General features: G+C 33.0%; 1 protein-coding gene across 2 annotated transcripts in view; it reads right to left on the bottom strand.

Annotated features, from left to right (window-relative positions):
* Positions 1–15,902, bottom strand: part of TLL1 (tolloid like 1) — a 231,221-nt gene that overhangs the window by 91,975 nt on the left and 123,344 nt on the right. For both annotated transcript variants that reach the window (NM_012464.5, NM_001204760.2), the window contains exons 6-7: positions 8,914–9,092; positions 4,435–4,540 (exon numbers count right to left, since the gene is read on the bottom strand). In NM_012464.5, coding sequence (NP_036596.3) covers positions 4,435–4,540; positions 8,914–9,092 — 285 coding nt within the window. The remainder of the gene's footprint in view (positions 1–4,434; positions 4,541–8,913; positions 9,093–15,902) is intronic.

The following is a 15,902-nucleotide window of genomic DNA, read 5'->3' as shown; positions in this document are numbered from 1 at the left end:
CAAAAAAAGGTTCAATTTGAAAAGGTCAATGACATCTTGGAGAGAATATATTCAATTTCAGACAACAGAATTATGAATTTTGTTTCATTCTGTCTACTAAGGTAATCTCCCTTCCATTTCAAGGGAGTTAGTCACTCATGCTTTTCTTCTTTTTTGTGGTCAGGAAGTTAACAATTATTCTTCTCCATATCCTGACAAGTAAGCAATGCAAAATCTTACTGAACCTCCTCAGTGAGCCACTATCAATAGGCAGAGACAGATCATATCATGGTTCACTTACTATTCTTGATTTGTTCTAACTACATTGAAAGAGCAAATCAGCTATACTTTTAACAAAAATTTGTAAAATTTTACGACTTTTTAAATGAAAAATGGGCAGTCCACAGTTCAGAAGCATGTATATTACAAAATAGTCACTCATATAAAGACCCTATAGATACATTCCTGTTCTTCCCATAAGTGATTTCCTAAATATATTGATGGGCAACATCATAAAAACAATTGGAACTTTTATAGACTCTGTGAGTTCAGAATTTTTAAAACTAAGAAACTTCAAATACCTACATTAACAGAATAAAGAACAAAAACCATATGATCATGTTAGCTGATATAGAAGAAGTATTTGACAGATTCAACACCCTTTCATAATAAACACACAAAAATCTAGGAATAGGAGGAAGCTACCTCAACATAATAAAAACTATATATAAAAATCCCACACCTAATGTCATAATCAATGGTGAAAACCTGAAATATTTTCTTTTAAGATAAGGAACAAGGCAAGGATGCCCACCCTTGTCACTTATATTCAACACAGTACTGAAAGCCCCAGCCAGGACAACGAGAAAAAATAAAGCAAAATAAAAGCCATCCAAATTGGACAGAAAGAAGTAAAATTCTCACTGTTTGGAAATGACTTGATCTTATACACAGAAAATTCTAACTGTTCCACACACACACAAAATCCGTTAGAACCAGTCAACGAATTAAGCAAAGTCATGGGATATAAAATCAAAATGCAAAAATAGCTGCATTTTTATGCATTTACAACAAACAATCCAAAAGATAACTGATTCCATTCACAACAGCATAAAAAAAACCTTAGAAAAAAACTTAACCAAAGAAGTGAAAGATTTTACACTGAAAACTAAAGACACTGCTGAAAGAAATTAAAGAAGAGACAAAGATCCCTTGTTCCTGAATTGAAACACTTAACACTGTTAAGATGTTAATACATCCAAAGTGATCTACAGATTCAATGCAATTTCTATCAGAATCCCAACATTTTTTTTGCTGAAATAGAAAAATTTATCCTAAAAATCCTATATGATCTCAAGATACACCAAATAGCTAAAACAGTTTTGAAAAAGAAAAAATATTTGAAAAATTCACACTCCAACTTTGCAGAACTGATTTCAAAACATATTACAAAGCTACAGTAATCAAAACAGTGCAGTATTGGTATAAAGACAGATCTATAGACGGGTGAAATAAAAGAGAGAGCACAGAAATAAACCATCATATACGAGATCATATTATCTTTGACAAGGGTGTCAAGATTCCTCAATTAGGAAATGACAGTTTTTTCAACAAATGACACTGAGAAAACTGGATATCTACATATAGAATAATAAAATTGGTCTCTTTTTTAAAAAAAACACTTTAAAAAATTAACTCAATGCATTAAATAAATAAACATAAGACCCAAACTATACAACTTCTAGAATAAAACACAAGGGGAAAGCTTCATGGTGTTGCATGTGACCAGGATTTCTTGGATATGTCACAGAAAGCACAGTCAATAAAACCAAAATAGACAAACAGGATGACATCAAACATACAGCATTGTGTACATCAAAGGACACAGCCAACTGAATGAAAAGGCAACCTAAGAAATGGAAAAAAAATTTCCAATATTTATATTTATATATATACATATATAAATTAAGTGGTTTAATCAGAATATACAAAGAACTTCTACTACTCAACAACAAAATAATCAAATAACCTGATTTAGACATGGGCATAGGACTTAAATAAAGATTTCTCCAAAGATGATATACAAATGCCACCGAGCATATAAAAGGATGTTCACTAATCATCAGAGAAATGTTAAGTCAAAACCACAACGAGATATGACATCACACTCAGAATGGCTACTATTCAAATAACAAAAAATAATGTGCTGGAGAGATATTTGCACACCCATGTTCATATTAGCATTATTCACAAGAGGCAGAAGCTACACAAATGCTCACTGATGGATGACAAGATAAACAAAATGTGATATATACTTACAATGGAATATTATTTGGCCTTAAAAGTGAGAAAATACTTTCACATGCTACAACATAGATCAACCTTGAGGAAATAATGCTGAGTGAAATAAGCCAATCACAAAAGGACAAATACTATATGTCTCCAGTTATATACAATATCAAAAGTAGTCAAATATATAAACAGGAAATAGAATGGTGATTGCAAGAGGCTGAGAAGAGGTAGAAAAGAGAAGTTGTTTAATAGGTATAGAGTTTACGTTTTGCAAGATGAATAAGTTATGGACATCTGTTTTACAGTAATGTCAATATACTTAAATAACACTACTGACTTGTATGCCTAAAATGGTTAGGACAGTAAATTTGATGTTTTGTGTTTTTCCATAATTGAAAAAAAAAGAAATTTCAAAAACTTTGAGGGAGTAGCAGAATGAGACCTATGTCAAATTTTTCTTTTCCTGAAAATCATTTAAATATAAGTTAATAAACAGCTTCTTTAAAGACTTAAAAAATAAAATAACGTGAATGAAACAATCAGGCTATCCTTCTAACAGGTGGATATGATCTCCTGTATTGTAAAAGTGTTGAGTTTATTTATGAAAAATGCATAGGATGGTTTTGAAACAATAAGATAAGTAATAAACAAAGGCTGATTGGCATTCAACTCATAAGCAGGTGTGGGTGAGGTGGACTACGGGCAACAAGAGCAGATTAATTTATGGGAAAATACACAATGCAACATGGAAAAAAGTATAGAATAAGGGGAAACATACAGTTAGAACTTTGCTAAAGATTTATCATCTGTGAAGGACAAAAAGAATAAATTGTTTTTCTCTACTCTCCAGTACCTTCTCTGTTCCAAGGAACCAAAACTCAGGTTAGTTCTAAACAATATAACTCAGTAGCAGAAGAGAGGCACTTTGACTGAACTGGAACCTAAATATCCATTTGTTAAATGTTTTATGGAAAACTCCATTCCAAGCATTTACCAGAAAATAAAATTCTGTAACTCTTTATGATTAATTTCAGGTCAAATTACTGAGCATGTTATTTCTATCAAAACTTAAATTCATATTCTAGAAAAAATAAACATTTGGACAGTTAATTATATTTTAACAAATGAATGCGTATGTCTATAAATAATGTACTTTAGAAAAGCATAATTTTAAAAATACAGTTAACACAAATTTTTTAAATAATAAACTTTGGTTTGGAAAAAATGGGTAATTAATAAATGTGTCCAAGTATTAAGGTTTCATTTACACACCCTTCTCTACTTTTTACCAAGAAAGTTTTATAAAAGCAGCTTAATACATTTGAATATTTTTCCCTTTTCCTGACCTTGCCTTCAGAAATAGATGTCAATGAACTGTGAAATGGACATAAGTGGGCAAAAAAAAAAAAGAGTTGAAATGACATACGAGCATAAAATGGGCATAAATGGAAAAAGGGGTGAATTCAATGGTTTAACAGTTCCAAATTCCTTACCTGGGAACTATTTGCTTGATGACATCATCTTTAGAATGAAGTAGATCAAAACCCAAATTTATTGCATTCTTTAAAAGTAGCTTTAAGTCATTAATGACATAATTTTAGGGTTAATGAGTGATGAACTATAATTCTAAATTATATGAGGTAAAATATCTTTCTAATTTGTTATTTGACAATTCATTTAGTAATATCAATTTTTGAGTGTAAGTTGTACTTGAGCAGTAGAAAATACACAGTATAAAGCACAAGTCGCCTAGATTGTGACATTTTAACAGAACTGCTAAATAACCTATTTAGCTTATAAATATCCAATTTTCATTAAACAATTCTTTGCCAATTTAACATGCTGATTGGTTTGGTAATGCTTTTAATTCAACTTTTTAATGATTTAGGAATATAAAATTGTTTACATAATTTATGCCATCTTATTGGTATAAATTTTATATATTAAATTCATATATTTGGTAGAGAATTTAAAAATATATTTTTAAAATGCCTTTTAAATACTTGCTCTTGTCTATAAATGTTCATGAATTATTTTTCTACTTTCTGCAGTGAGGTAGCAATATTTGAAAGTAATTCTAGTTCTAATGTCAGGCATAGCTTTGTGAGGAGCCACATGGAGGAAAGGAATTAAAAGTCAAAAGGTATAACCTGAGACTCCAACCTTGAGAAGGTGTTCCTGGCATAGTGCATGATACTGTCGAAATCATATCTTTCTCCAAGTGAGTTTACTTCTCCAGGCTCCATCTTCAGAAAATTGTACTCTTGACCTAAGAACCAGGGATAAACAAAATCTCAGAAGCCTTTTAACTGACAGAAAATAGACCAGAAGGCCTTTCCTACACCTGCATCTGTTCTTTGTGAAATGACTGATCTTGCTGATCGAATTTACATACAAAACACACAGGCACATGCAGAAAGCATCTGTCTTCACTCTACCATCATATTGAAAAGCAATATTGAATTGGAACAAAGTGTTAATTTCTGAAAAAAGGTGGACTATGAAAAAGCATACTTTCTTTTATATGTATGCTCTTTTACCACCTCATAATATTTATTTCTTTAAAATCTTACTGCACTTTTGGTAATGTACAAATAATTACACAAAGTTATGTTTTTATCTATGAGTTTCCCATTTTTATGACTAGGTTTTCCAGGTCATACAAAAATCATCTTCCTATTTGGTTTAGATCCTTTCTATGAAACAATAGGAGAAGATATAAAAGCAATATTAGTTAAACAGAGCTCTGCAGGCTTTTGCTCCACGATTTCATCACTGAAGATCAAACAGTAACAGCAAATTCTCTACTTTCATTTAAAAATGAAACAAGTTTATTCTTGATGAAAAGGCAGTTCTCCTTTGAGATTAAGAAGAACATGCTTCAGAACGTAAATGCTTTTCCAAATTTCCACATCTGTTAGTTTAACTTCTGGACATCTTCATTTTTAACAGATTTTTCAATTGCCTGTTTGTATCTGTATTGTAGTATTATTTCTCGAAATTTGAAAAGAACACAGACTTAAATTCAATGATTCCGGAAAGACACATTTCTTAAAACAGAGTTTAAGCTTTGGTGACTCAGTTTTCACAATTTAAGTACCCAAAGATTGTACAAATCATATCACTTATGTAACAAAAAGCTTTGAAACATCAAAATACAAAGAAAGATGAGCTAAAGGAATTCCAAATTCACTTTTGGAGCTAAAAATGGAACTATTATGCCATTCATCTACTTAGGTTTTTAATTCCAACTGTCATATTTCAATCAAATATAAAAAGATCCCATTAATACAGAGTTTTCTAAAGGCAATAAAGAAATTGAGTTATGTCTCTCCAATACGTGATAAAGGAAATGTGGGGTATTCACTTGAGAATTAAGAATGAAGAATCAACCTGAAGTTACAGAACCCAAGTCCCAGAACAAGGTGTTTTAGTCTGTCTTTGAATGAATTTACACAATACATAATTTAAAATTAACTAACCAGACCTTATAATGAAATACGTGCTCCACAAATCTCTGATAGGTCTATTTATGTTACAACCATTCTTGGGAAATATTCAACATACTCTTCAACCCATGATAGAGGCAACTGTTAAAACACCTGTCTCATAAGGAATCTGAAGTCTAATATAACAAATCTATGATCAGATTTTCAAAAAGCTATGGATCTAATTTTATACTTATTAACCTGTAAGATTTCAATTTAGAACTTAATATGGGACCAGATTCTCTAACTAAAGCAAAATATTCCATAAAAATTTCTGAAAGTAGAACATTACGCAACTTCAGCAATACATTTTAATGCATCTAACTTGAGAACTTAACGTGCATATGACACAACAATTTTTGTTAGTTAAAAACAACATAGCCATACACAGCCCAAATAACAGAAAAGTAGACTTATTACATGAAAGGAAAGAGAAGCAGAATACATAGCACTAAGGGAAACCACATTTGACAATTTTAAAAATGGCAAGCCTCCTTCTTGAAATCATATTCTAACATGAATTAGAGTAACCCAATCCTTATACCAATTTGGTTCCTATCATAATCACTGATTTTGCATATAAATGTGAGGCCAAAGTTTGTGCTTATTAGACATCACCCTTGACTAAGACTTGATCTTAAGTTTCTGAGTGACAGCAAATCATAAATTTTTTGAAGATTAATCTTCAACATGAGCACTTTTATACCAGAATTGCTCTGTTACAGTGGTTCCCATCATTCAGGAAATCTCACCCAATAGATTTTTTTCTGTTGGCCATAATGTTTAGTCAAAAGAAAATATTACAAACCATAATTTCCTTAGCACTGTTTTAGGATTGCGCATTTATTTATACTACACATTATATACACTTCTCCTTGTTTCAGGTACATATTTATATTGAAACAGGATCCTATTTTTAAGAGTAAAAACCATTTTTGAAAGTTACATCTTTTATAAATTTTTTCCACGTAATTAAATGTTTGGCAAATAAAAAACACGAATAATTCTTGGTAACAGCAAAGTTCTCATTTATGTGGTAGTTGAAATAATTTTCAGATTTATTTCCTCTTTATTTCCCTCCTAGTGGTATATAGGACGAATCTTGATAGTCGGCTCATTCATTAGAGTCTTCTATATAGAGGAGAATACTTTTTTTTAACTTATTTTGATATCTAACCCTACAGATCACTTCACCATTCTTCAAATTATTTATTTCCTTGGCTTCTAGGACACCACAATCCACTGATTTTTCTCTTACCTTTCAGGCAATACCTTCTTAGTCTTTTAGGACATACTCTACCAAGTATTGCTTAAATATTGTTTTTACCCATTTTATAGTCTCAACCTTTTTCTATTCTCCATCCAGTTTTTCCCTAATTAGTGAAATCTATGTCAATTTTTTATCTTTAGATACATCCTGAAGTCCAGACTCACCTTTCCTTTCTCTACAAAATAAGGATCATACAAAGGCTTTTTAAATTCAAGGATATGCTAAATTGAATCATTATTTGTCCTTCTCTTTCTCAAAAACATGCTGTTTTATCAATATTTCAATATCTCAAATGTTTCATGTGATGGTACCAACATTCATCTTGTTGTCTAAAAAGAAAACTTTTGAAGATTTCCCCTCACATGATGATATTCCTCTTAAAATATTTTTGAAAGACTATTTCCTCTTCTTCCTCTTGATGTGTACTACCCTAAGAACTTAGTCACCTCTCATACCTACTTATTTAGATTTCTATTAGGTTTCCTGGACTTCAGGCACCCCCCCGCCACCACCCAGTTAACGATCGCTATAAGTCTGACTGGGAAAATGAGTTCTCTTTATTTTAATCTGAACTTTTCCTGCTTATAATCCTTTAATTATTCCCCACTAGCTAGAGAATAAAACCTGAATTTCCTCCCCAGGTTTACATCATAGAGAATCTTTCCTAAGTAAAGGATAAGATACCAACTAATCTCCCACTTGTAACTTACCATCAACCATAATGGTCACATAAAAATAATTCAATTTTCTGTAATTGTAGCTTTGCTCATGAAGTCCTTTTCGCTTGAAATTTAATCACTCTTCTGTCCGCCTGAAATACTTCTGCTTTACTTCTAAATTTCCATTCCTTTACAACTCCCTTGACTCACTAAGGGACTTTTCGTCATGCCTTGCTTGGACTCTATGGTATTTTCAACATATATTACTAATTACTGTCACTTTTCTCACTCACTTGCAATCATTTATATATATGCACATATCCCACACTAAACTTTGTATTTTCCATGACAGTATCTTCAACGCCTAACATTGGCTCAATAAATAATCGGCATCAAATATATAATGAGCAAATAAAGAGATCAGTATTGTTAATTACAGAAGGAATTCAATGTTTGTAACAAAACTGATCATGAATAAGAAAATAAAAACACATTTTTACTTTGCTTATGCTTAAAATACCTTACAAGAAAATTCCAAACAACAGAATATTTTTCGGCAACTGAAATATACTGATCTTTATGCACGTAAAAGTTAAAAAGTCTTACATTGAGGCCATTATCAAATATCAACTATCAGAGAAAAATAGGTTTTAAGTAGAAATTATATTTCAATTACTGAAAATTTTCCTAAGAATTTGTCTTTAGGGTAGTCAAGTTTAAGAGGAAAATCTCAGAAAAAACTATTTATATTAGCTTGGAAATGACTCATTTCACTGGATTTTCTCCAGAAATTGTACCTGGTATAACACAGATTCCTATGGTAGCAGCACGTGTTATGGCAAACCCCAGGCCTTTTTAAAATCCTTATAACATAAATTATAGAACTAAGTACAAAAAATGCTTCAGTAAAAAAGAAATATTTAATAATATTAATTTATGGCTCAATAGCTCACACTCATTCTTGGAAAGCACCAAAGTTTAGAAATAAAACAGCTAAATCTTAAAAAAGAAAGCAAGTCTAAAAAATGCATGAAATCACACAGTCTCCAGGAAAAATAAAATAAAATATAAAATCATCATGGGTGATTTTTAATCAAGCAAAATGTTACTCTATCATATCAAAAATATCAGTTTACATTTTTGGGAAAGTGAAATAATAAACTGCATAAATACAATTCAAAGATACCCAGTCAGCCTTAAACCCAACACATTCTATGCCTCTCACCTGGCTGGATGTTTTCTCTTATGATAGTTACGTGGTTATCTCGATCTGGTCTTGTGTGTTCATGCCAAAAGCCTATCACATGACCCAATTCATGAACAACAATCCCAAATTTATCACAGTTCTTGCCGATAGAGATTGCCTGAGGTCCATTTCCTCGCCGACCTACATAGGAGCAGCATCTGGAATAAAAGAGAAAGTGGAGATGGTGGTGGAAAGGTGGTGCTGGACAACTGACAATATGGTGAATTTTTTGTAAAGAATAGTGATGAGCTATAAAGTCCGACACATTCAGGAACAGAACAACCTCTTATTACTACATATGACTAGTTTCTGGTATCCTTTCAAATTTAAGTTCAACAAAAGCTTCCAAATAATCAGTTCAAGTGCTTTTGTAATTATCTATATATTAGAAAATATGCTTACATCATTTTTAGAAGCATTCGGAAATACATCAGAAAATAAACTAATTATCATGGTGATGACACTTATATCATGATGACGATGTTGTATTTCTAAGACATATAGTTAAGCTGAAGCCATCAATACACATTTATTTCTAATATAATTTTATCCTCAGAATTCATATTAATTACTTAGGTTACTACTTTGTCAGTGTGGTTATCTGACAATAATTCAATATTATTTCAGTACTAAATATGAAAGTAAAGAAAGTTTATTTTTCCTCTTTGAGAAAAAGAGAGTTAAACTTATTTATCAAAGATGTTGGTTTATCAAAAAGAAGAAATTACTTTTTCTACTCATGGAAGAATTTTGTTAATAAAAGAAACGTTTCAAAGAAGAAGTTAATTAAAGAAAATTACTTTTGGCTGGTTGCAGTGGCTCATGCCTGTAATCCTAGCACTTCGGAAGGCCAACCTGGGAGGACTGTTTGAGGTCGGGAGTTTGAGACCAGCCTAGGAAACATGGTAAGACCCCATCTCTACAAAAAATTCAAAAATTAGCTGGGCATAGTGGCGCAAACCTGTAATCCTAGCTACTTCAGAGGCTGAGGTGGAGGGATGACTTGAGCCCAGGAGTTTGAGTCTGCAGTGAGCTAGGATCGTACCACTGCGCTCCAGCCTGAGCAACAGAGTAAGACCCTGTCTCTTAAAAAAGAAAAAAAGAAAGGAAAGAACATTATTTTCAAAAGATGAATTAAGTAAGGTTAACAGTAAAGTTAACAGTTAACTGGTGCTAGGAACTGAATATTATATCCCCCCAAAATTCACATGTTGAAACCTGATCTTCATGGTGATAGTATTTGAAGGCAGAGCCCTTGGAAGGTGATTTGAGGATCAGGAGGACTCTGCCTTTATGAAGAGATCACTGCCTTTATAAAAAGGCCCCAGAGAGCTCCCCTGATCCCATCTGACATGTGAGAACACAGCAAAAACACATCTCACATCCGTCTATGCACCAGAGCAGGCCCTTACCAGACACCAATTCTGCAGTGCCGCGTCTCCAGAACTGTGAGAAATAAATGTTTGTTGTTTAAAAGCCACCCAGTCTATGACATTTTGTTATAACAGCCTGATTAGACTAAGACAAGTAGTAAAGAAAAATCAACAACTGGGAGTAGTATAATGAATGATATTTATGATTTGTGTCAAATGAGCAGTCTAATAATTGAGATTGATTTTTTATTTCATCATCTGAAAGAATCTCCTGGACTGTCAAATAGAATGTGAAACATGCAGGAATGTCTTTCTGCAAATTTTCATCAATTGATTGATATTTATACATATTCAATGACATTTTTCTTTTTTTTTTTTTTTGAGATGGAGTTTTGCTTTGTCACCCAGGCTGGTGTGCAGTGGCACAATCGGCCCACTGCAAACTTTGCCTCCCAGGTTCAAGTGATTCTCCTGACAGCCTCCAGAGTAGCGGGGATTACATTCACCTGCCACCATGCCTGGCTAATTTTTGTATTTTTAGTAGAGATGGGGTTTCACTGTGTTGCCCAGGCTGGTCTTGAACTCCTGACCTCAGGTGATCCACCTGTCTTGGTCTCTCAAAGTGCTTGGATTACAAGTGTGGGCCATTGTGGCCAGCCTCAATGGATAGAAAAAATGATGTTTTTCTATCCAAAATATAGAAGTTCCATCTAGTCATTGTGTGTGTCTGCAAGTCTAAGTGTGTGAGTGTATGACAGTCCCAAATATTCTTGGGACACAGGGTGGGAAAGACTGAGCACACAGGATGCCCACTTTAAAATAAATTTTAAATGGCATAATATTATAGTAGCTACAATTATAAATATATCTAAAACTTTAATAATTAGAGTTTAAATTAAAATAACATCAATAGCACAGCAACAGAGGGCACTAAATGGTCGGCTTTGAATAGTTGGGATCATGATGCACCAGACATTGCCAACCGCCTCTTCTGATATATTAAATTGGAAGAGAAAAATGCCAAAAACTAATTGACCGAATGATTAAAAGGAATTTCACTATTTCAATTTCTGGGATAAGGACATTTGACAGCCCTTTTGATTTTCCACAAATATAAATCCTTATCTCCCTCTCCCCCTACCCTTTTTTTTCATTTTCAAATTGTTTCTGTAGGCTTTAGTCGCCTAATAATTTTCATCCATACTACGCCAGTTAGATGAATTAATTTGTACTCATCATTTACAAATTTATTATAGCAGTTAACTGAGTTTAATAAATCAGTAATAGAAAGAAGAAAGAGGTGATTGGTGGGTGAAAAGAGGAATCAATGAAATTTGTTTTTGCCCCAGGTAGTTTTTTGTTCAAATAATATGCTTTAATTCATATATAGGTACCTATTATGTATTTGAATATTATTACATGCCTAAAAATATATTAGATGAAGAAAAAAACAAAAAAAAATTTCAAATTTTGGAGATATTTAAACTAAAATATTTGCTACCTTAAGTCAATAGTAAGGAAACTGAAGCATCTGATGATTATACAGCAACTAAATTACCCCTATTGAGTCATTCTTACTGGCTTTATTCAGGGAATATAGTTATTTGCAAGTCAAAATGTGGGAGACAGTAAAGCAATGTGGTCAATTTATTTCATCTAAAACATCCTTTTTAGCATAATTGCTCTCATAGCAATTTCCTATAAGATGAGGTTTTACACTGGAAAGGAAAAATAGATTTCACACTGCCTTATTCAGAGGTATTATTTTACAATGGTCCTGTGAAAAAACAAAAATGTGGTGTTTTGATCCCCAACTAATTAAAGGTCTTGGAGACAGATGAATTCTAGACTCTCAGATTAAGAAAATAACTACATATATGCTTAGACAAATATTAGTCATGGAAAGACAAGGGTAATATGTATTTTTAATGTGATTTTAAAATGTCTAAATATTATCTTAGTTTCTAATGTCATCCAGGTTTGATGCTGTTTTCTTGTATACGGCTGTTGGATTTTTGTTTCTCATTTGTGTGCCACTTTTAAAGTTTGGACATTTTAAGGTCTACCTGTAGCATCGAGCAAAAACTTTCCCTATCAACAGAAAAGCCTCACCTCTCCATAAGTCATAGATGGTAATCAGGTAAATCAAAATCTGCTACTTCCTACTTTTGCCTTGGTTTGGTAGAACAAAACCCATTTGGAACATTATTTGGTAGACCAAACCCTTTTGGAACAAAACCCCTTTGGAAGCTAATCTATTAGATTATCCATGAAGGTGGAACTGGTTCTGCCTTTTTATGTGCTGTATTTGAAATAGTTTCAATTATTTAGGTTAATCGCCATTTACCTTTTCATTAAAATAACTCAGTTTCTTTTTTGTTTTGATTTAATAAGTTTTCCAGGGCTGAGCATGGTGGCTCATGCTTGTAATCCTAGAAATTTGGGAGGCTGAGGCAGGTGGATCACTTGAGCCCAAGAGTTTGAGACCAGCCTGGGCAACATGGTGAAACCTCATTTTTACAAAAAAAAAAAAAATACAAAAATTAGCTGGACTTTGTGGCTGATATGGTTTGACTCTGTGTCCCAACCCAAATCTCATCTCAAATTGTAATCCCCACATGTCGAGGGACCGAGCTGGTGGGAAGTGATTGGATCAGGGGGGTGGTCTCCCCTGTGCTGTTCTCGTGATAATAAGGGAGTTCTCACGAAATCTGATGGTCTAAAAGTGACAGTTTCCCCTGCACTCTCTCTCTCTCCTGCTGCCTTGTGGAGAAGGTACTTGCTTTCTCGTTTGCCTTCTACCATGATTGTAAGTTTCCTTTGGCCTACTCAGCCATGCAGAACTGTGAATAAATTAAACCTTTTTTCTTTATAAATTACCCAGTCTCAGGTAGTTCTTTATAGCAGTGTGAAAACAGACTAATACAAAAAATTAGTACTGGGAGTGGAGCACTGCTATAAAAATACCTGAAAATGTGGAAGCAACTTTGGAACTGGGTAACGGGCAGTGGTTGGTACAGTTTGGAGGGATCAGAAGACAGAAAGATGTGGAAAAGTTTAGAACTTCCTAGAGACTTGTTGAATGGTTTTGATCAAAATGCTGATAGTGATATGGACAACAAAGTCCAGGCTGAGGTGGTCTCAAATGGAGACGAGGACCTTCTAATAAATCGTTTTTTCTGCTTAAGTTAGCCAGTCTCTGTTGTTCGCAAAGAAGAATCCTGGCTAGCACACCCGTACTGCCTAACTATATAACCTTCTTGAGGAGAGAAAACACCTTATGTTCAACTCTACATTCCCAAAACTTAGTATGTTAAGTGGGACAAAATGAGAATTCAACAAGTATAGGATGAAAAAGTGTCTACTTTTTTTTTTTTTGAAGACAGAGTCTTGCTCTGTCCCCCAGGCTGGAGTGCAGTGGTGCAATCTCGGCTCACTGCAAGCTCCGCCTCCCAGGTTCACGCCATTCTCCTGCCTCAGCCTCCCGAGTAGCTGGGACTACAAGCACCCGCCACCACGCCCGGCTAATTTTTTTTTTGTATTTTTAGTAGAGACGGGGTTTCACCATGTTAGCCAGGATGGTCTTGAGCTCCTGACCTCGTGATCCGCCCGCCTCGGCCTCCCAAAGTGCTGGGATTACAGGCATGAGCCACCGCGTCCGGCTCAAAAGTATCTACTTTTATAACCTGAATAATCAAATAGACCAAAGTTAAATACCATTTAATCATAAAATTTAAAGATTAGTGAAACAGGTTAACTGTAATTTTTTTGTTTATTTACTTTTTTGGCAATCATTAAAGATAAGTAGATTAAAAAAAGTAAGATTGTTCCACAAAAATTATCTAATAAAAGGAGAGAAGTCATGTAAATAGAATCTATTTAGCTATAAAAGGCTACATAATAGACTGAGGTAATAAACATAGTTATATAAATCTCTCACAAAGAATGAAATCAATCTCTATCATAAAATAATCTCACATTTTGCTAATAATAATCAATCATCTTGCAAAATAAATAAATGCCACTGATGACAATAACTGTTCACTGAAAAATACTTCGTTGAAGAAAAAAATAAGGAAAAGAAGAAATAAGAAGGCAGTTAGAGAACCTCCTCTCTTACCTGTCTCTATAAGGATAAGTAGCTGAGAAAGTCTGATGAGCAGCCTGCTAATCAGCTACAACCAGAGTTCTCTCATACTGTTGTACTAAATGCAAATGTAAATAAAATACTTATAGCTCAGTTCAAACCTTTTACCAATATAAGGGTGAGGGTTAAAGCATATGTCCCACTGAAGATGAATCAAAGAGATCATATATTTAGAAACATGCATGTGCCTATATATACAAATATGCTTGCAGTCATACATAAACTGTACTTATAATACAATTTAAGGAGGAAATGCACTGAAGCTAAGTGGCAAAAAGTCCTGACCTCCACCTTTTGCTTATTATATTTTATTATTTTCCCATCTACTAAAGGCCTGATACAGAAAAGTTACCAATAAATGTTAAATGAATAAGAGCTGACTATAGTAGAATAAGGTGGGAAACAATAGTTAATGTTCTAAAAGACACAGGTAGTTTCATGCATAATAGTCCTTCCTATAAATATGGGCAAGATTATTTTAGCTCTTATTTTAAAAAATCGCAAGAGTTACCAGTTGCCTAACTTTGTGGGAGAGCTAAATGAAAGTGATGGTAAGATGTGTTTCTTATTAGATTAAAGTTAGAAATAGAATTGATTTATGTTCCATCAATATCAATGACACTACCTTGCAGGTTCTCAATGAACAATTACACTAGATATTGTTAAATGCTACACATTTATTGCCACACTGTTGTCTTTTTTTATGAGATGAAAGACCCAATATTGAAGCCCCATAGGAGTGCTAATGTGCTTGACTTGACAAGTATCTTATTCTAGTTGAGCTGAAGTACTTTGTGCACACCAACTACCAAGCTCTTTAATAATTTAAATGAATTTTTATGAGATTTAAGTGAAGCATTATCATAGAAAAATCATCATGAAATATGATGTTTTATGAAATTGTGTCAACAATGGTAATTCCAAATGAAGTTAGAATGATTATAATGCTTTGCCAGTCAGTGATCAATTCCTATACAAGTATCATCCTTCCTAGCACCAAAAACACAACACAGAGAAAAGTTTGAACTGTAAAATGAGTAGCAAGATAAATTACCAAAATTCAGCATTACTGCATTACTACTATAAAAATCACAAATATAGGTATATATTAACACACATATGTATATGCATGTACAAATAAATATTAATATATACATATCACATTATATGAATTATATATATAGATGTATATATTAATTAATACTATATATGTATATATTAATACTCAAGGGGCTAACTTCAAGAGTGCAACTACATTTAGTTTTCACATTTCTAAAATAATTGAAATACATGTCCTTAAATATCCCCTGAAAGTCTCACAATCTTCTAACGTAAAAGAAAAATTCTTAACATTCTTTTATTGTGTGTGAGGAATATGCACAATGTACTTACATAATGTTTGTTTGTTTGTTTGTTTATTTATTTATTTTGAGATGGAGTCTTCCTCT

This window comes from Homo sapiens, chromosome 4 (genome assembly GCF_000001405.40).
Source record: "Homo sapiens chromosome 4, GRCh38.p14 Primary Assembly".
NCBI lineage: Eukaryota > Metazoa > Chordata > Mammalia > Primates > Hominidae > Homo > Homo sapiens.
Note: the sequence above shows the minus strand (reverse complement) of the source record. Positions and strands in the feature narration are given on the sequence as shown.